Source organism: Homo sapiens, chromosome 5 (assembly GCF_000001405.40).
Source record: "Homo sapiens chromosome 5, GRCh38.p14 Primary Assembly".
NCBI lineage: Eukaryota > Metazoa > Chordata > Mammalia > Primates > Hominidae > Homo > Homo sapiens.
The window spans coordinates 72985025-73007027 of NC_000005.10; the positions used below are offsets into that span (position 1 = coordinate 72985025).

Sequence of the window (22003 nt, forward strand, 5' to 3'; positions counted from 1 at the left end):
CCAGAGTATTTGTTCTAATAGGGCCCCATATCCTGGAATATGCTAATTGCATATGCATAGTTTATTAAATATCTTCCTTTATCCCTGAATTTCTTAAAAATTGTCATTTAAATCTAGCAGCATGATCAAATTCTATTCAGTACTTTTTTTTTTTTGGACTGAGTCTCACTCTGTCACCCAGGCTGGAGTACAGTGGCATGATCTTGACTCACTGCAACCTCCACCTCCCAGGTTCAAGTGATTCTCCTTCCTCTGCCTCCCCGAGTAGCTGGGATTGCAGATGCATGCCCCCACGCCCATCTAATTTTTGTATTTTTAGTAGAGGCAGGGTTTCACCATGTTGGCCAGGCTGATCTCGGACTCCTGACCTCAGGTGATCCACCCACCTCGGCCTCCCAAAGTGCTGGGATTACAGACATGAGCCACCACGCCCGCCTCTATTCAGTATTTTGGAAAGAATACTTCTTAGGTGGTGGTGTGTACTTCCACCAGAGGCATATATTATCCAAATATAACTGTTTCATGATGTTAGTGGCCATTGGTGATAATCACCTAGATCTGTTATTTTATTAAGGATTTGCTTTCATTTATATTTTTGCTGGGTATGGAATTCCAGTTGGTAGATTTTTTTAATTAATTTTTTTTGAAGATCGTTCCATTATCTATAGTTGAGATGTTAGCTATCAGTCTAGTTATTGGTTCTTTGAAGGTAACATTTGGTGGTGGGAAGAGTTTGGTTGCTTTCAAGATTTATTTTGTTCTTTCTCTTTTTAATTTTCAGCGGTTTTTACTCTAATGTGACTAGAACCAGATGTAATTGTTTTTAAACAATTTATCCTCTTAAAGTTTGTTGGGCTGCTTGGATCTGTGGTTAATATCTTTTATCAGTTTTGGAAAATTCCCCATTATTATTTCTTCAAATATTTTCTCTAACTCATTCTTTCTCTTTACTCATTTATCTGACTTTTCTTGCTTTGTCCTTTACATCTCTTCTCTGTTTTTCATTCTTTTTTGTCTTTCTGAACTTCAATGTTGGATAAATTATTCTCATCTATCTTTTAATTAACTAGATCTCTTTATTTTTTAAATTTTCCTTTTTTTTCTCCATCTCCTTTTTATGGTATAAATCTCAATATAGTATATCTAATCAGCTGCTAAACCCCATCCAAGGAGATATTAATTTTGGTTGTTGTATTTTCTAGATCTGTAATTTGCATTTTTTTTTTCTTTTTTGCAAATTTGGTGTGCTTTCCTCCACTTCTTAAAATGACCAGATCTCTAATGAAATTCTTCTTTTGGAGTCTTTACTTGAAGGGCGTGGGATTTTTCTCTGCTTTCTACCTTTAGTGGACCTGAACTCTTTTTCTTTTGGCTCCCTTAACCTGTGAGGCTGAGAAAAGCTCTGTTTCACTTCTCAACTGATCAGCTACCTCTTCTGGATACCCCCAAGGAAGAAGCTGCCCGACATACCTGACTGACTTGTCTGGATGCCCTTCTCTTGGATCTTGATTCTTAACTGCCCCTTAAGTTTTCTAATGCTTTTCAGTTACCTTGCCCCCACCCTCAACTTACCATGTTTTCTAAATTTTCCTCAGTGAGAAAAGTTTTTGTGTCAATAATCTTATTCACTATTACAGGTTAAGTATCCCTTATTTGAAATGCTTGGGAGCAGAAGTCTTTTAGAATTAGGATTTTTTTCAGATTTTGGAGTATTTGCATATACATAGCAAGAAATCTTGAAGGTGAGACCCAAGTCTAAACTTGAAATTTGTTTATGTTTTATACACACCATATACTCATAGCCTGAAGGTAATTTTATACAATATTTTAACTATTTTTCTTTTTCTTTCTTTTTTTTTTCTTTTTTTTTTTTGAGACGGAGTCTCACTCTGTCGCCCAGCTGGAGTGCAGTGGCACCATCTCGGCTCACTGCAACCTCTGCCTCCCGGGTTCACACCATTCTGCCTCAGCCTCCCGAGTAGCTGGGATTACAGGCGTGTGTCACCAAGCCCAGCTAATTTTTTTGTATTTTTAGTAGAGATGGGGTTTCACCGTGTTAGCCAGGATGGTCTCGATCTCCTGACCTCGTGATCCACCTGCCTCAGCCTCCCAAAGTGCTGGGATTACCGGCGTGAGCCACCGTGCCCGGCCTATTTTAACTATTTTTCTACATGAAACAAAGTTTTGACTGAATTTTGACCATGACCTGTCATGAGGTCAGGTGTGGAATTTTCTGCTTTTGGCATCATGTTGGTCCTCAAAAAATATATAGATTTTGGAGCATTTCTGATATTTTGATTAGGGATGTTTGTTTGTTTATTTATTTATTTGAGACAGAGTTTCGCTCTTGTTGCCCAGGCTGGAGTGCGGTGGCATGATCTTGGCTCACTGCAGCCTCCGCCTCCCGGATTCAAGCGATTCTCCTGCCTCAGCCTTCCAAGTAGCTGGGATTACAGGCACCCACCACCATGCTCAGCTAATTTTTGTATTTTTAGTACAGACGGGGTTTCACCATGTTAGCCAGGCTGGTCTTGAACTCCTGACCTCAGGTGATCTGCCAGCCTCGGCCTCCCAAAGTACTGGGATTACAGGCGTGAGCCACCGTGCCTGGCTGATTAGGGATGTTTAATCTGTACTGGAAATTGAACTTCTTTACCTTGCTGTTAAACTCACACATTGATATACTAATATTAACTTTTTTGGGTGAACAAAGTATTACTCTTGTAGTAATAGTATTTTAAAATGACAGAAGAACTTAAAGGAGCAGGAAAGAGTCACAGTACTATCAGCGAGAGGCAGTTACTGTTAATATTTCCTTTTTGTTAGAGAGCTGGTTTTTGTGCAAATTTGGTTGGGAAAGAGTTTGGAGATTAGTTTAGATATTCTGAGTTTGAGGTGGTTCACATATCTTAATTATGTTTGGGGCAGTTAGATATTGAACAGGTGGGTCAGTGCAAGAGTAGTGTGAAGATCTGGATTTAGACATTAGAAGCAGAAAGTTGGTTGGACCAATCAAAGTAAATGGAGGGATGATGGTGGTTGTAGAATGTTCCCCTATTAAGGGTAGCACACATTGAGAAGAGCCAGGCAAAAGGTAAAACTATAAGTTTTGTAGTGTTAAGAAGGCCAAACAGGCCGGGCGCAGTGGCTCATGCCTGTAATCCCAGCACTTTGGGAGGCTGAGTGGGGCGGATCACAAGGTCAGGAGTTTGAGACCAGCCTGACCAATATGGTGAAATCCTGTCTCTACTAAAAATACAAAAATTAGCTGGGTGTGGTGGCGGGTGCCTGTAGTCCCAGCTACTCGGGAGGCTGAGGCAGGAGAATCGCTTGAATCCGGGAGGCGGAGGTTGCAGTGAGCCAAGATTGCACCACTGTACTCCAGCCTGGGTGACAGAGCCATATTCCGTCTCAAAAAAAGAAGGCCATACAAAATGTGTATTCTGTATTTATAGGTTACATGTCTGTAGGATAATTTGTGTCTTTTAGAATTCTATATTTAATGGCTGTGGATGTTTTTTACGGAATAAAATCTCATATGCTAAACAGTAGTTATATAAAACACAGTTTTCTAGTGTGAAATATTTGCTAATATTTTAGATCTGATCACAAAATAAATTAAGCCATGAATGAAGTTCAGGATTTCAGACTTGATGATATATTTAGTTTTGTGCAAATGACTGTCATTAATCTCTTGTTCTATTAAATGTGCATCACAGTGTTGAAGAATAATAAAACTAAGTACAACAAAGAATTATTAAATACAAATGACACACTTATCACAGTGAACCAGCTTACAGAGACAGAGAGAATACAAGAAGTAGCACTCATGTATTTCCTGTTCAGATAAGCATTGGTACTAAAGATAAAAAGAGTTGTGATTCCATTAAAATTTTTTCTGTGGCTGAGCGTGGTGGCTCATGCCTATGATCTCAGCACTTTGGGAGGCCTAGGTGGGAGGATTGCTTGAGCCCTGGAATTCCAGATTAGCCTGGGCAACATAGCAAGGCCCCATCTCTACAAAAAAATACAAAACTTAGCTGGGTGTTGTGGGGCATGCTTGTAGTGTGAGCTACTCAGGAGGCTGAGGTGGGAGGATTGCTTAAGCCTAGGAGGTCAAAGCTGCAGTGAGCTATGATCATACCACTGTACTCCAGCCTGGGTGACAGAGCAAGACTGTTTTAAAAAAAAATTTGTGTGTGTGATATAAATTATTTTAGTTCTATACCAGAAAGGACATTTGAAGATAGGCCGGAAATTCATGACTACATATATGTACTTATTTTTAACATGTAATTTTTGAGGTATCTTTTTGTTTTGCACTTTTAATTGTATTTTGATAACTTTGCTGTTTTTGGTCACTAAATAAGAAGTATTATGATGTGGATATTTGATTTAACAGAGCTACCATAGAGGAGGCATACTCCAGGTCAATGACAAAACTAGCAAAATCTGCAAGCAATTATTCACAACTTGGGTGAGTTAATTTCTTCCTCTTTTTCAGTGTTTATTTAGGCAAAGTTCTTAAGGATTCTAGGTTCCTTTTGAGGACATAACAGTTCAAAAGCATAGTAAAATATATGCTTATTTAAAAGTATCTGTAAATATTAATATATTCTTCACTTGATAGAAAATATAATTGAACTTGCTGAATCAGTCAATGCAGTCAAAACTAAATGAAATTTATTTTTTCCCTTTTTAAAAACTAGTCATTCAATAGTGTTTGAGATTATAAATGTTATCTTATGCACATGCAATGTATTTATTCTAGTTGTCTGTAAGTTCCTATTTAAATTCTGTTGTAGTTTAACAGTGATCTTTAAAAACTCACTTAAGATAAACTTTATTGAAATGATTAAGATGCATTAAAAATGTCTCCTGTGATTTTATAGACTGTCATTAAATCTTCCTTTTAAAAATTTGTATTAAAAATGTGTTCCTTGAAAAATGAAAATAATGAAAAGAATACATTTAAAATGAGATGTGCTCATTGCCATAACAATTATGGAAAGAATAATTATCTAAAAATTGGGCTTTTGCATGTTTAAATTCACAGAAACTTTATTTTTGATGAAGTATTTTAAATGGAATACTTGTTTTAAATTGAAGTTTGATAATAGTTAATTTTTAACAATAGACAGTGATAGAAAGGCTTCTGATACAAGTATAAATACTAAATCAATTCAGAAATTAATATAATTAAGAGGGTTAAGACTTGTGATAATGTAATTAACCCATTTCTATATTCCTGAGGTCCAAAAATATTTTAAATAACCAATGACAAAAAAAATTCAAGGTCAGTCTGTCAATCATTTTATTCATTATTTTAATTTCATCTTTTGCCTAAATAAAGTTGCCATATATACCACTATTATTTCCACTGGTTCCTTGTTAGAACCTTAATTTTCTTTTTTACTTTTAATAAGTTATTCCCATATTTTTTATTTTCTTAGAACATTTGCACCAGTATGGGATGTATTCAAAACATCTACAGAGAAATTAGCAAATTGTCACTTGGATCTTGTTAGAAAATTACAAGAATTAATAAAGGAAGTTCAGAAGTATGGAGAAGAACAAGTAAAGTCTCATAAAAAGGTATCAGTTTTTTTCTTGTTAAATAATTGATTGGTCAGATATTGAATACTTTATAGTTCAGTCATTTTGATGGATCATTTCATACTAAACAGACTAAAGAAGAAGTTGCAGGAACTCTGGAAGCTGTCCAAACCATTCAGAGCATAACTCAGGCCCTCCAGAAATCCAAGGAAAATTACAATGCCAAGTGTGTAGAACAGGAGCGTTTGAAAAAGGAAGGAGCTACACAAAGAGAAATAGAAAAGGTAATCATAATAAAAATTACATATCTGTGGTTTCAAAGCACCTTGACATACAAAATTGCATTTAACATTTAGATCAAACTGAAAATTATCTCATTTTAAAGATGAAGACACTGTGCCTTACAGTCCTAGTGATTACCCAAGTAAAACACAGGAGATTTGTAAAGTATGTTATCTGTGGTAAATAGGTTAGCGAGCACTAAAAAACAATGATTGATTTGAGACGGAGTTTTGCTCTTGTTGCCTAGGCTGGAGTGCAGTGGCGCGATCTTGGCTCACTGCAGCCTCTGCCTCCTGGGTTGAAGTGATTCTCCTGCCTCAGCCTCCCAAATAGCTGGGATTACAGGCGCATGACACCACATCCGGCTAATTTTGTATTTTTAGTAGAGATGGGGTTTCGCCATGTTAGTCAGGTTGGTCTCGAACTCCTGACCTCAGGTGATCCGCCCACCTTGGCCTCCCCAAGTGCTGGGATTACAGGCATGAGCCACTACACCCAACCAAAAAACAATGATTTTTTAAATGTCAGTGACACATTTTCAGGATATTTTTGTAGTAACATAATTGAGGTAATTACTTTGTGTAAAATTTAACCATGAGGTAAAATTGTTTTGAAACAAGATTTTGGTATATTTAGAAAGATACAGGTAGGTACTTGCACATAAGCTTTAAATGTGTGTTGTGGTGATTTATTGCTGACTTTGAGCACATTTATGTAGCATTGTGGTAAACCACAACCTTTTCTTCCATTTATGTTTTAATGGAAAGTAGCTTTTTTTTTCTCCTTTCAAAACAGTTTAACCATTTACTTATTTGATGTGGTATATCTCACTTAAGAATGAGCCATGTGGAGTGATAATTTTGAAAGCTTTGTAAAATGTTTGAAATATCCAGTAAAAAAGGAAACCAAATTGTACCAATTGTATGATTATGACTATAAAACAGCTGTGTATTTATATACTTTTACATGTTTAAATGCACAGATACTTTATTTTTGATGAAGCATATTAAACGGAATACTAGTTTTACATTGAAGTTTGATAAGAGTTAATTTTTAACAACAGATGATGATAGAAAGTCTTCTGTTACAAGTCTGAATAACCAAATCAACTCAGAAATTAATATCATATAATTAAATAAGAGGGGCTGTTACAAGACTTGTGATAATGTAATTAATCCATTTCTATATACCTGAGGTCCAAAATATTTTAAACAACTAACCAATGAAATATGATATATGACTATACATGGGCAAAAAACTAGAAGAGAATGTGGAAAAATGAAAATAGGTGATTTAGAATTTGGAGCAATAAGGCACATAATCTCAGGACCTTCTGGGGACTGTGTCACAGATGAAAAAAATGAATTTGGAGCAATATATTGTGTTTGTATAATAAATAAAAATTGGATTTGTATAATAAAAATTGGGAGGGGCCAAAATGAGACACAGTAAATTCATGGTTTGAAAACACCCTCTGCTTCAGACATAGCAATTATGAATAAAATATAAAAAGGGAAAACGAAATAACAGGGTCCAAAAAGAATAATATTTTATCTCTGTGGGCCAGAATAGAACAGAAATCCAAAATGGCACGTAGAGATTGATTATGCAAGCTGTTGAACTCAAAAGTCCTAAAGTAGGCAGTGGGATTTGGCTCTTACGTGGCAAAAGGGACTAAAAGCTCCCCTCTTAGGATGAGGTACAAAGAGCCTGGCTCATTGCCTGAAACTATAGATAGGGAGAAAAGAAGGCTCTTGGGTTGCTGACAAGAACTAAAGCCTTATTGAAAGTTGGGGATTTAGGGACACAGATACAGAGACACAATCCTGACTTGAAATCAAGCCAAGGAATCATTTCATGACTATTTTGGCCATATCTACAATATTCTTGCAGGGAAGTAATTAAAAATTACTTTCATAAGACTGAAATGAAATTGGGGCCTTGGAGGGGTGGCAGGAGATAACCTGAAAACTGCTTGGGGATGGGTGAGCATAAAGTATAAAGCATAACACAATTCTAGGAGGTACCATTTATGTTTTATTCTATGAATGTCCAGCAGTACTGATGAAGGGCGAGAGAGAAGAAGAGAAAAGAGGGCAAAATAAAAAAAAAAAACTCCTATTCTGAATGAGCAAACAACCAAAATTGTAGCACACACCTAAGAAATCTAATACTAGAACAACCAATAAATTCAATAATTGGAATAAGAATTTACTCCAGATGAAATTTAAATTTATAAAAAATGAACAAAAACGATGTGTCTTGAGGATGTTCAAATAAATAAACATAAACTTACATTAAAGAAGATTAAGAAATTAAACGTAATGAAACAAGATCTACTAGATAGAAAAAAACAGCTAATTAGAAAACTTGGAAATGAAAAATAGAGTTATTGAACTTTTTAAAAAGCAATAGAGAAAAGAAACTTTAGACTTGATATAGTCAAAGAATGAGTTTTGAAGATAGTATGGAGGGACCTTATCCAGAACATAGTAGGAGAAGCAAACGTTACCAACATTCATCTAATACTAATTTCAGAAGGAAAAAATGGAGGAAATGGAAGGACAAGTAATATTTGAAGAGTTAACAGCTCAAAATGTTTCAGAATTGAAGAAATTCAAGAGCCCTCATATTGAAAGTACATTATAGGTATTAAGCAGGTTAAATAAATTCAGACCTAGACCCCAGAGAAAAAGAAAATGGGTATTTTTTTTTCCTCATATGAAATCAGAATGCATTTTCAATTGATGGTATTGTATAGTCATGGTTGGTAAGATAGCTTTTATGGTGTAGTTGAATTGCCTGTACAAACTTCGTTGCATGATTGGACAGCTACAATGCTTTGATATTTCAGTTAACAGACCTTTTAAGGACCATTTGAGGAAGTAATGGCTTTGATTATTTTCTGAAAATCTTTTAGTGATACCTTTTGGTAAGATCAAGTGCTTGGAAGAAAACCTGAAGATAATAATGGAGCACTTGAAAGAAATGGTCTGTCAACTGACAAAAACAAGCAATGGGGAAAGGATTCCCTATTCAATAAATGGTTCTGGGATAACTGGCTAGCCATATGCAGAAAATTGAAACTGGACCCCTTTTTTACACCATATACAAAAATCATCTCCAGATGGATTAAAGACTTAAATGTAAAACCCAAAACTATAAAAACTCTGGAAGACACCTGAGGCAATACCATTCTGGACATAGGAATGGGCAAAGATTTCATGGCAAAGACACCAAAAGCAATTGCAACAAAAACAAAAATTGACAAATAGGATCTAATTAAACGTAATGGTTTCTGCACAGCAAAAGAAACTATCAAAAGAGTAAATAGACAACCTGTAGAATGGGAGAAAATGTTTGCAAACTATGCATCTGACAAAGGTCTGACATCCAGCATCTATAAGGCACTTAAACAAATTTACAAGAGAAAAACAACCCTATTAAAAAGTGGGCAAAGGACATGAACAGACACTTCTCAAAAGAAGACATACATGCAGCCAACAAGCATATGAAAAAAAGCTCAACATCACTGATGATCAGAGAAATGCAAATCAAAACCACAATGAGATACCATCTCACACTAGTCAGAATGACTATTATTAAAAAGTCAAATAACAGATGCTGGCAAGGTTGTGGAGAAAAGGGAATGCTTATACACTGTTGGTGGGAGTGTAAATTAATTCAGCCATTGTGGAAAGCAGTGTGTGGCGATTCTTCAAAGAGCTAAAAACAGAACTACCATTCACCCCAGCAGTCCCATTACTGGATATATCCCCAAAGGAATATAAATCGTTGTACCATAAAGACACATGCATGTGAATATTAATTGCAGCACTATTCACAATATCTAAATGCCCATCAGTGACATTTGATAAAGAAAATGTGGTACATATTCATTGTGGAATACTATGCAGCCATAAAAAAGAATGAGATTATATCTTTTGTGGGAACATGGGTGGAGCTGGAGCCCATTATTCTTAGCAAACTAATGCAGGAACAGAAAACCAAATATTGCATGTTCTCACTTATAAGTGGGAACTAAACAATGAGAACACATAGAGAGGAACAACAGACACTGGGGCCTACTGGAGGAGAGAGGGTGGGGAGAAGGGAAGAAGGAGAGGATCAGAAAAAATACCTGTCAGTTACTGTGCTTATTACCTGGATGACGCATAAGCTGTGCACCACACCCCCGTGACACACAGTTTACCTATATAAGAAACCTTCACATGTTCCCCTGAACCTAAAATAAAAGTTAAAAAAGGAAATGCTTTGTCAGTAAACAGAAAACTGAAAATAATTTGAAAGAAATAATCATAATACATATAAATGTCTTGGACTCCTGGTGTGGTTTGTTTTCTGTTGCTTATGACAGAATACCTGAAACTGGGTAATTTTTTTTTTTTTTGAGACAGAGTCTCACTCTGTTACCCAGGCTAGGGTGCAGTAGCCGCATCTCAGCTCACTGCAACCTCCGCCTCCCGAGTTCAAGCAATTCTGGTGACTCAGCCTCCCGAGTAGTTGGGATTACAGTCATGTGCCACCTCGCCTGGCTAATTTTTGTGTTTTTAGTAGAGATGGGGTTTCACCATGTTGGCCAGGCTGGTCTTGAACTCCTGACCTCAAGCGATCTGCCTGCCTTGGCCTCCCAAAGTGCTGGGTGTGAGCCACCATGCCTGGCTTGAAACTGGATAATTTATAAAGAAAGGAATTTATTTTTTACAATTATGGAGGATGAGAAGGACGTCCGAGGTTGAGGGGCCACATCTAGTGAGAGCCTTCTTGCTTGTGGGGAGTCTGCCGAATTCTCAGAAGGTGCAGGACCTCATATGAGGGGGCTGAGTGTGTTTAGGTCTCTCTTTGCTCCTTATAAAGCTGTCAGTCCTATTTCCATGATAATCCATTGATTCATGAACCGATTAATACATTAATAGATTAATCTATTTATGAGGGCAGAGCCTTCATGACCGACTCATCTATTAAAGGTCCCACCTCTCAATACCGTCACATTGGGGATTAAGTTTCACAAGCATTCAAACCATAGCAGCTCCTCTAATCATAGATCAATTGTCAAATTGAAAAAAAAAATCCTGTTGGCAAGGCATGGTGGCTCACACTTGTAATCCCAGCACTTTGGGAGGCCACGGTGGGTGGATCACCTGAGGTCAGGAATTCAAGACTAGCCTGGCCAACATGGCAAAACCCCTTCTCTGCTAAAAAGACAAAAATTAGCCGGGCGTGGTAGCGGGCGCTTGTAATCCCAGCTACTCGGGAGGCTAAGGCAGGAGAATCACTTGAACCCGGGAGTTAGAGGTTGCAGTGAGCCAAGATCGCACCACTGCAGTCCAGCCTGGGCAACAAGAACGAAACTCTGTCTCAAAAAAAAAAAAAAAAATCCTGTTATGTATTTCATATAATGGGATACAATACAGTAGTTTAAATAAATATTACTCTTGCAAAGAAAAGGGGAAAGAATAGATTGAGTCTTGAAGCTAGGTGATGGATTCATGTTAAAAAAGAATGACATGTATTAACGTGAGTAAATGTAAAAAGCATAATATTGAGCAAGAAAAAGTTTCAAAAGGATGTGTAGAATTTGATGCCTTTTATATAACCTTTAATTCTCTGTAAAAACAGAAAAAAGCTATTGACTCTCTGCTTACCCCCCTCCCTTACCCCTTCATCCTTGCTCCCTCCCCCACTGTCCCCTTCCCCAATTAATCCTTCCCCTTCCCTCCTGGTCTCGGAGGACCCAATCCTAGCCCGACCTGTCTCGGCCCGCAACTTCCCCGAAGCTGTTGGTGCCACTCCCAGCCCATGTGGGCCCCCGCAGGCTGCCAACGCCTGTCCGCCAGCTCCCCGTTCCGCTGGGCTTTCCAAAACCTCGCCAGGGGTGACTTTCTGAGCCGCTTGCTCCATACCCCTCTCTGCAGCCTCTCCTGCCACTTAGGGCTGCCGTTCCCCCTCCCGGCAACGGGGGGCTGGCGGAGCTGTGCCACGGGGGCCCCCGGGGCCGGCGGGGCCGGCAGAGCAGGCAGTGCCAGGGTCATCAGGATGATGCGGACGCAGTGTCTGCTGGGGCTGCGCACGTTCGTGGCCTTCGCCGCCAAGCTCTGGAGCTTCTCCGCCCTTTTGCGGTGGCAGATCTGCATGGTAATTCAGCACCAAACTGTTCGATATGATATCATCCCCTTATCTTCTTGTCCTGGAATCAGCTAGGTGAAGAGGAAGATCATGGTGCTGGATCCGGATGAGATACTTATTCACTCCCACCATGATGGGGTCCTGAGGCTCACAGTCTGGCCTGGAACGCCTCCTGACTTCATCCTCAAGGTGGTAATAGACAAACATCCTGTCCGTTTCTTTGTACATTAGAGGCCCCATGTGGATTTCTTTTTGGAAGTCGTGAGCGAGTGGTGGGAGCTGGTAGTGTTTATAGCAAGCATGGAGATCTATGGCTCTGCTGTGGCAGATAAACTGGACAATAGCAGAAGCATTCTTAAGACGAGATACTACGGACAGCACTGCACTTTGGAGTTGGGCAGCTACATCAAGGACCTCTCTTTGGTCCACAGTGACCTCTCCAGCATTGTGATCCTGGCTAACTCTCCAGGGGTTTACAGGAGCCATCCAGACAAGGCCATCACCATCAAATCCTGGTTCAGTGACCCCAGTGACACAACCCTTCTCAACCTGCTCCCGATGCTGGATGCCCTCAGGTTCACCGCTGATGTTCGTTCCGTGCTGAGCCGCAACCTTCACCAGTATAGGTTCTGGTGACAGCTGCTCCCCCTTCACCTGAGTTGGGGTTGGGGGAAAGGGAGGGCGAGCCCTTGGGATACCGTTTGATGCCCTGTCCAATGTGAGGACTGCCTGGGCAGGGTCTGCCCCTCCAACCCCTCTCTGCCCTGGAAGCCCTACACTCCACTTGGAGTCTGGATGGACGCATGGGCCTGGGACCCTGAAGCAGCCTCACTCTAACTTCGTGTTCACACTCCATGTGTGAATGGAGTTCAGGCTGGGAGACAGGCAGAGGCCTAGGAGAACTAAAACAGTGTTTGTGGTGGAGCGGCAGGACCCGCCAGAGCCACAGATATATGGTGATCCAGGAGGCTCAAAGAGAAGCCAAGTCAGCTTTGTTGTGATTTGATTTTTTTTTTTCTAAACTCTTGTACAAAACTGAAAAAAAAAATGCTATTTATATACAGGTAAAGTATTAGGGACATGTATGGGGACAGTAAACAATAAGCACATGATGGAAATTACTTGTGATGAGAATGTAAGGGGAATGGGACAGGAGCTGACTTTATTCAAAATAAAATAATTACTTTAAAAAATGTGGTCAGGCGCGGTGGCTCACACCTGTAATCCCAGCACTTTGGGAGGCTGAGGTGGGTGGATCACGAGGTCAGGAGATCGAGACCATCCTGGCTAACACGGTGAAACCCCATCTCTACTAAAAATACAACAAATTAGCCAGGCGTGGTGGCGGGCGCCTGTAGTCCCAGCTACTCTGGAGGCTGAGGCAGGAGAATGGCGTGAACCTGGGAGGCAGAGCTTGCAGTGAGCCGAGATCGAGCCACTGCACTCCAGTCTGGGCAACAGAGCGAAACTCCGTCTCAAAAAAGAAAAAAAAAATGTAAGTCACAGGAGCAGTTTACTCTTGGTAGATACTATAACATTCATGCCCAACAGTGAATTGGTATGGGTTTCATATCATTAATGCAAATGTCTATGATCTAAATTAGTTAAAACTATCCAGAGGATTAAAGTACTGCTGGGTTAAATACCGTTGTCTTCTTTTTTGTGAACCCCAGTGGGCTCACCATAGTACCTAGTATGCCGTGACCACTCAAAAAATATATGATGACTAGCGATTACACATAAATAAATGATTCTGAGTCTTTTCATGTAAACCAAAACAAGTTTAATGTAATGATTTAGATGCAATTAAAGGATTTTTTTTTTTTTTGTCTAGAGATGAGGTCTCACTGTGTCACCCAGGCTGGAGTGCAGTGGTGGTATGATCATAGCTCACTGCAGCCTGGAACTGCTGGGTGCAAGCGATCACCTCACTGCCTCAGCCTCTCGAATAGCTGGGATCACAGGTGTGAATCATCAGGCCCGGCTCATGATTTCTTTTTTATTAAAATATTGAGCAGGAGTGGAGCATGTAGTTGTGTCCAAGGGTTGTGAGTTGGCTAAAATTCACCCTGTGCTTCACAGGGATGGACTTCAGTGGGATGGACTACTCAGAGGAAGGGGTGCTTTTTTCTAATTGGTCTCCTCAGAGGTGGCATCTCTGCTTGTGATATTAGATAGTGGGTTCTCTGATTTGTAATATATTTTAATCCAAGTCAGTTATTTTGGCCTATCGTAAGGTTTTTATTAACAAGAATGTAGATTTTTTTTAAAAGTCATAGATCTTTGAATAATTTTTTTGTGACTTAAAAACATAAATACTATAGGTGTTATAACATAATTTGGTTATCTCATTCACTCATTCACAGGCCTTTTTTTTTTTTTTTTTTTTTTAAGATGGAGTCTCGCTCTGTTACCCAGGCTGGAGTGCAGTGGCACGATCTTGGCTCACTGCAATCTCTGCCTCCTGGATTCAAGCCATTCTCTTGCCTCAGCCTCCCAAGTACCTGGGATTACAGGCATGCGTCACCACGCCCAGCTAATTTTTGTATTTTTAGTAGAGATGGGATTTCACCTTGTTGGCCAGCCTGATCTTGAACTTCTGACCTCAGGTGATATGCCCGTCTCAGCCTTCCAAAGTCTGAGATCACAGGTGTGAGCCACCACACCCAACCACAAGCCTTCATTTTTATAAAACACCACTTAGTAGGTACTCATGTTTGTGGACTATTGACTAAGTACTCATTTTATATGTATATGCTGGCTTCATGGATTGTACTATAAAAGTCATAGGCACTTAAAATGTTTTTGGTAGTATATTAATTTATAATGCTAAGGAAATGAATAAAACTTAGATTTGTTTTATTATCATAGGTAATGTATTAAAGCCACTCTTGCTTATGAGAAGAAATGTAGCTATTACTTGTAAAGCACAGTTTCCTCTTAAGAACAAATGCTCCAGCTTCCCTTTTATTTTAATTAATTAGTGAATTAATTAACTAGTGAATTAATTTTTCAAGACAGGTTCTCCCTCTGTTTTCCAGGCTGGAGTGCATTGGCACAATCACGGCTCACTGTAACCTTGAACTCCCAGACTTAAGCAATCCTTCACCTCAGCTTCCAGAGTAGCTGGGACTACAGGCATGTGCCACCATGCACAGCCAATAAAAAAAAAAATTTTGCAGGCCAGGCACGGTGGCTCATTCCTGTAATCCCAGCACTTAGAGAGGCCGAGGCAGGTGGATTACCTGATGTCAGCAGTTTGAGACCAGCCTGGCCAACGTAGTGAAACCCTGTCTCTACTAAAATACAAAATTAGCCGAGTATGGTGGTGTGTGCCTATAATCCCAGCTACTCAGGAGGCTGAGGCAGGAGAATCTCTTGAACCGGGGAGGTGGAGGTTTCAGTGAACAAAGATCACGCCACTGCATTCCAGCCTGGGCAACAAGAGTGAAACTCAGTCTTAAAAAAAAAAAAAAAAAAAAAAAGCTGGGGGCAGTGGCTCACGCCTGTAATCCCAGCACTTTAGGAGGCCAAAGCGGGCGGATCACTTGAGATTGGGAGTTTGAGACCAGCCTGACCAACATGGAGAAACCCCATTTCTGCTAAAAATACAAAATTAGCCAGGCGTGGTGGTACATGCCTGTAATCCCAGCTACTCGGGAGGCTGAGGCAGGAGAATCTCTTGAACCCAGGAGGCAGAGGTTGTGGTGAGCCGAGATTGTGGCATTGCACTCCAGTCTGGGCAACAAGAGTGAAACGCTGTCTCAATTAAAAAAAAAATTGTAGACACAAGGTCTCATGTTGCACAGGCTGGTCTCAAATTCCTAGTCTCAAGCCATCTTCCTGCTTCGGCTTCCCAAAGTGGTGGGATTACAGGCATGAGCCACCACACCTGGCCCAACTTCCCTTTTAATAATGACTATAAAGATTGTCACTTTTTTATGATGAGGCCATTCAGTTTCTATAATTCTACCTTAAGAATTTATAGCATTCCTAACTAAGCATAATATGTTATTTAGAAAGTTGTTTTGACTTAATAATTTAGTATTGTGTAGCTGTTTCTTATGAAAGATGTTTCTTGCTTTCAGAAAATATACATGTTTCTGGTGGGGCATGGTGGCTCATGCCTGTAATCCCAGTGCTTTGGGAGGCCAGGGTGGAGGGATAACTTGAGGCTGGGAGTTTGGGACCAGCCTGGGCAACGTAGGGAGACCCCATCTCTACAAAAAGTTTTTAAAAAAATTAGTCAGTGTGAGATCGCACCATTGCATTCCGGCCCAGGCCTACAACAGCAAGACTGGTGGCACATACCTGTAGTCCTAACTACTCAGGAGGCTGAGGCAGGAGGAGGATTGCTTGAGGCCAGGAGGTTGAGGCTGCAGTGAGCCATGATTGCACCACTGCACTACAGCCCAGATGACAGAGCGAGATCCTGTCTCAAAAAAAAAAAAAAAAAAAAAAAGAAATGAAAAGAAATTTCTTTATTAGTTAGTGCTTCTCTTGTCAGTTTTCTAGATGCTTCTCTATTTCTTTTTTCTTTCATTTTTTTTCTCCCTATCATCTTGTATTAAAGATGCTTCTTAAAGTTGATTTGTAATTTCCTTAGGATTCTGACTGTGGCATATCAATTTTACCTTTCAAGAGTGAGAGCTAGGCTGGGCATGGTGGTGGCTTATGCTGGTAATCCCAGCACTTTGGGAGGCCAAGGCAGGAGCCCAGGAGTTCAAAACCAGCCTGGGCAACACAGTGAGAGCCCATCTCTACAAAAAAAGAAAAAAAATTAGCCAGGCGTAGTGGCATGTGCCTATGGTCCTAGGTACTTGGGAGGCTAAAGTACTTGAGCCCAGTAGTTTGAGGCTACACTCTAGCCTGGGTGACAGAGTGATACCCTGTCTCAAAAAAAAAAAAAAAGAGCTGATTGAAAAAATATAAGTCAGAACTTAAAAAGAGTACCTTCTTTCTTCATGCTTTCAAATAAGATAAATAAAATTTTATAATTTCCTGATATCAGAGGGTACGCTTCATAAAACTTCTTTGTTTAAAATTTTGATTTAGATCCAGCCGTTAACCTTTGAGATAAAGATAATAGTTTTATAGCCAGAAGTAGTGAACAAATAAGTGCTGAATGTATAGACCAGGATTTATAGTGAGAATATCATGAGAGGAAAAAAAGAAATTTATGAAAATATGCTGGTGTAAAAGCCTTAATGGTTTTATCCCTCTTGACTCAGTAGAGATTTGAGTAGCAAAATTAGTTAGAATTCTAGAGACTACGTGAGTATAGGAAGATGAAATGATTCAGGATCTTCCCTCCATGTCTTAAAGGCCTATAATGTTTGATGCATAGTGTTATAAAATAATTTCTTTGTTTATACTTTAGAAATACATGTCTTTTATAAGTAGTAATGTTCCTCCATGTAGTCATCCTTTATTTCTATTAGGTTATAAATTTCTTGTTAGTGAGAAGCTATCATTGCATTGTCCATAACACAGCATATATATTTACTTGGAAAATAATCATAGCAAAATATTATTTGAATTCTTCCACTTCATTAATATAATAAAATTAGTTTGAGTTTATTTTAGCTATAGGCTTTAGAATAGATGCTTACTTTTTAAAATGATTTATTCAAATATTTTTCTGATTTGCCATTATATCATGAAGTGATAATTTGCATGCAACAGTAAATAAATGTTTAGTTCCTAGCCTATCACCACGCTGGGAACTATGAATGTTTTTAAGGCTAAATACATGTTATTGTTTCTGTCTTCAAGAAGCTTTCTTTTTCTTGGAGAGCCAAGACATATTAAATAGTACAGAACAAGAAGTTAGAGAGAGGGTTGAATGGTAAGTTGAGAAGGTGTGGTATCTTATTTTGTACACAGTCTATAAAAAGAAAACCTGCTAGGTGTTTGTCTCAAAAGAAATTGCTATTAAAAGAAATTTATTTTTAAAAAAGTAATTTATTTCACACAATCTTTCCCGTTTTATTTTTATGATATTTGTTTTTTTGTTTTTTGAGTCAGGGTCTCTGTTGTCTGGGCTGGAGTGTGGTGGTATTATCATAGCTCACTGCAGCCTTGAACTCTGGGGCTCAAGTGATTCCACCTCAGCTTCTTGAGTAGCTGGGACCACAGGTGTGTGTCACTGTGCCTGGATAATTTATTTTATTTTATTTTATTTTTGGAGAATGGGGTCTTGCTATGTTGCCCAGGCAGGTCTCGAACTCCTGGGCTCAAACTATTCTCTGCCTCTGCCTCCCTAAGAGCTGGGGTTACAGGCATGAGCCACTGCACCTGGCTTATTTTTTAAAAATTTTTATTGTATTTTATTTTTTTAAAATTTTTGTAGAGACAGGGTCTCACTTTGTTGCCCAGTCTGGTCTTGAACTCCTAGCCTCAAGTGATTCCTCCTGCCTTGGCCTCCCAAAGTGCTGGGATTATAGGCATGTGCCACCATGCCCGCCCAGTAAATTACTTGTAAAAGTGTATGCACAGTCATTATAATTAGGTATTTTTGGAATTTTCCAGTTTTATGGGTCTCCTTTTGACTTGTAAATATCTGTATTAGGAATGATCACAACTTGTCTTTATCAATAGCTGGCATATAAATTATTAAGCAATAATTTAGTGAGCAGCAGAGAAAAAGAAAAAAGTAGGTATCAGGATGAGGTATTAGGAACAAGCAAAGAAGGGGCTTTCAGTAGGGTTACATCATTATGCTAGGCTGTGTCATTAAAAATCACTCTGAAGGCCCAGTGTGGTGGCTCATGCCTGTAATCCCAGCACTTTGGGAGGCCTAGGCGTGTGGATCATTTGAGTTCAGGAGTTCGAGATCAGCTTGGCCAACATGGTGAGTGAGACCCCATCTCTACTAAAAATACAAAAATTAGCTGGGCGTGGTGGCTTGCACCTGTAATTCCAGCTACTTGGGAGACCGAGGCAGGAGAAGCGCTTGAATCCGGGAGGCGGAGGTTGCAGTGAGCCAAGATTGCACCATTGCACTCCAGCCTGGGCCACAGAGTGAGACTCCATCTCAAAAAAAAAAAAAAAAAAAAAAAAAATTCACTCTGAAGGACTGTAGGTCGTTTGATTGCTCTTATACTCACTGAAAATACAGGTATTAGAAGAACAAACTAAAATTTATTTGCATTAAAAAAATCCAAAAGGAAACCCGGATTAAGCATGCCATTATAATTGTTTTTAAAATAAATTCTAGCAAACTTGGTTATCTGGGTTTCTTGCGAAGGTACTTGGTAAACTATCCATTTCATTTAGCTGTTACGTATTTGAACAGGGGCAGGATATTAGAGGATTCCAGTAACTGGTATAAAATAATGTCAGCTGTGTGGAACTGGGAGAAGAGTAAAACAAAAAAAATCTATAGGAGCAAACTAGAAAATTGTTACGGGTTTTAGTCACTTTCGCTAGGGATAGGCAGCTCAATACAACTCAGTAACTCGGATATATCTTTATATTACAGCAAAATATCATGATGTGTTTTCTTGATGATATTTCTTGTTAGAAACCATAATAAAAGCAGGCACTATTTATTTTTAAATTTAACTGTATGCCAGACCCTATTCCAAGCATTTTGTATAACTACATTACTACTACAGCTTTTTTTAAAAAAAAGGTGATATTGTTCCCTTTTTAGTAATGAGAGAACTGTATAAATTTCTAAGACAAGGTCAGATGGGTAGTGCAGTGCTGAGATTTCACTTTCCTTGGTTTCAGTTACCTACTGTCCAGTACAGTAGAATATTTAGAGAGAGAGAGACCGTATTCACATATGATGTTATTACAGTATGTTGTTATAATTGTTATATTTTATTAGTTGTTAATCTCTTACTGTGCCTAATTTATAAATTAAACTTTATCATAGTTATGTATGTATAGGAAAAAACATAGTATATAATACAGAGTCTGTACCATCCATGGCTTCAGACATCTACTGGGATCTTAGAATGTATTCCCCATGGATAAAGGGGCAGTAGTGTAAACGGTAGAGCCAGAATTTCAGTTGAATTTCTTCTGGCTCCAAAATCAGCTTTGTTTATGTTTCATGGTAAAGTGGCATCCTATATTCTTTAAGAAGGCAGGAAAGTACATAACATATATACTTAATATAGTATAAACAATTACATTTTAGAGAGAGTACAAAGTTGCTTGTTTAGGGAGTAGGACTATATGTACCTCTTACCAAACCCAAACCTCAGGGTAAACCCAGTTTTCTCTTTGTAGTTTTTTGTTTTTAGATTCCTGATCATGGCTAAAGATAATTACATATTGGTACTGATCGGCTTTAAACAAATTAAGTATTTTACAGCTTTCCTTGGACTTCAGTGGCACTTAGCAACACTTTTATTCATCTAGTCATGAGCTCTTGCATCCTCCACAATTATGGTTTGAAACTTTTTTTGTTCTCCTTAAGCTCCCAACCTACCCTACTGTTTCTCACTCATACCAGACCCATCTGTTACCTCGTCAAGAAAATGGGGATTTTTATATCTTGAAATCCTATAGCTTGTCTTTCTTTGATCTCCTTTAAACTCTTTTTTAGTCCAACCACATCACTCCATCTTCCTGTATCCAAGTTGATCAGGCCTTTGAGAATATCAAGCTTCTTGATAGCTGTGTATCTGCTTCAACCTACAAACTACACATAATCTTTTCCTTTCTCAAATGCCTATCTTCTTATAATTTACCTTAACTTCTGTGGCTGTGTTACTTTATTGCAATTTCTGTTTATGTATAGGTTGTACAGTACTGCTTAATATGTTTTTTTAATTAAATAAGTAACTTATAAAACCAGAACTATACTATTATGGTAACAGTTTCGTTTTTTAAGTCTTGAAAAAATAGGCAAAGATTGAAAACAAGTTTCTGTATTTGCTGGAGCATAATGGAAGCTGAGAAACATCAAGGAAACCAGCCTTCACAACTTTCGAGATAGGTTTATAGTTTATAGATAGGTTTAATCAGACATTGAATGAAATATATGTATGCTGTGGTGGAGGAAAATTCACAGCTGCGAAAAGGAGTGTCAAGCACGTTCTGGTGGTATTGTGACATTTTTGTATATTGTCTGGAAGTTTCTCTCCAACAGTGTGTTAACATATCTTAGTAACACTGTAGCATTATAATGTAATTATGCAATCTTAGTCTGGGATTTAAAATGAGAGTATTTTAACTTTTCAAAGCACATTCCATCAAACAGAAAAGAGAATCAGTGTTTACTTCCTGACTTCTTGGCTGACTGTAACAACAACAATAAAAAAAGACTAAAGAGGGCCTCACAACAAGTATCAAAGTTAGTTATATGTCATATTGAACTCTTAAAATGTATTTTAATTTGTTATTCATATTAACTTACATTAGGAAAGAAAAAAGGTCAATGCACAGTTAAAAGTTTTTTATTTTATTTTATTACAGGCAGCTGTTAAATCTAAGAAAGCTACAGATACCTATAAACTCTATGTGGAAAAATATGCATTAGCAAAAGCTGATTTCGAACAGAAAATGACAGAAACAGCTCAGGTTGGTATTTTAAGGCTTCAGATTGAAAACAGGGCATTTATATTTGTGTATATTGATTAATTTTTCTCTCATATAATTTTTTAGTGTTGGAAGTTTTAAAATGCACAATCTCAATTTGTTAATGATGCTGTTTTAAAAATACATGTCGCGTTTTGGAGATTGAGGACCAAGATGCAATAATTATAATGTCATAAGGAATTATACAGGTAGATCAGAAGAGCCTGTTTAAAGGTAATTGGGGAAACTGAGGGCATTGGTACATGATGAAGACAGTGCTTAAGAAGCATTAATAAGAAAACTGGAAGTGACTTAGTAGTGAGGCTACGGCAGTCAATACAACCCAAAAAATCCCTGGTCTCAAAGAACTTACATATTAGTGAGGGAAGACAGACACAAATGTCTGCCATCCATTAGCTTGGGATAAATTATATTTGGTGTAGTGTTCTTAGAACCTTAATTAAAGGCCTCGTTTAAGGTG

The 22003-nt window shown here is 38.6% G+C and overlaps 1 protein-coding gene and 1 pseudogene across 9 annotated transcripts in view; both read left to right on the forward strand.

Annotated features, from left to right (window-relative positions):
- The window catches only part of FCHO2 (FCH and mu domain containing endocytic adaptor 2), a 134482-nt gene that overhangs the window by 28984 nt on the left and 83495 nt on the right, over positions 1–22003 (forward strand). For 8 of the 9 annotated variants that reach the window (NM_138782.3, NM_001146032.2, XM_017009017.3 and 5 more), the window contains exons 3-6: positions 4403–4477; positions 5454–5595; positions 5688–5840; positions 21421–21525. In NM_138782.3, coding sequence (NP_620137.2) covers positions 4403–4477; positions 5454–5595; positions 5688–5840; positions 21421–21525 — 475 coding nt within the window. The remainder of the gene's footprint in view (positions 1–4402; positions 4478–5453; positions 5596–5687; positions 5841–21420; positions 21526–22003) is intronic. The other variant, XM_017009016.3, reaches the window with a different exon arrangement.
- On the forward strand, positions 11697–12818 carry CTDNEP1P2 (CTDNEP1 pseudogene 2; annotated as a pseudogene).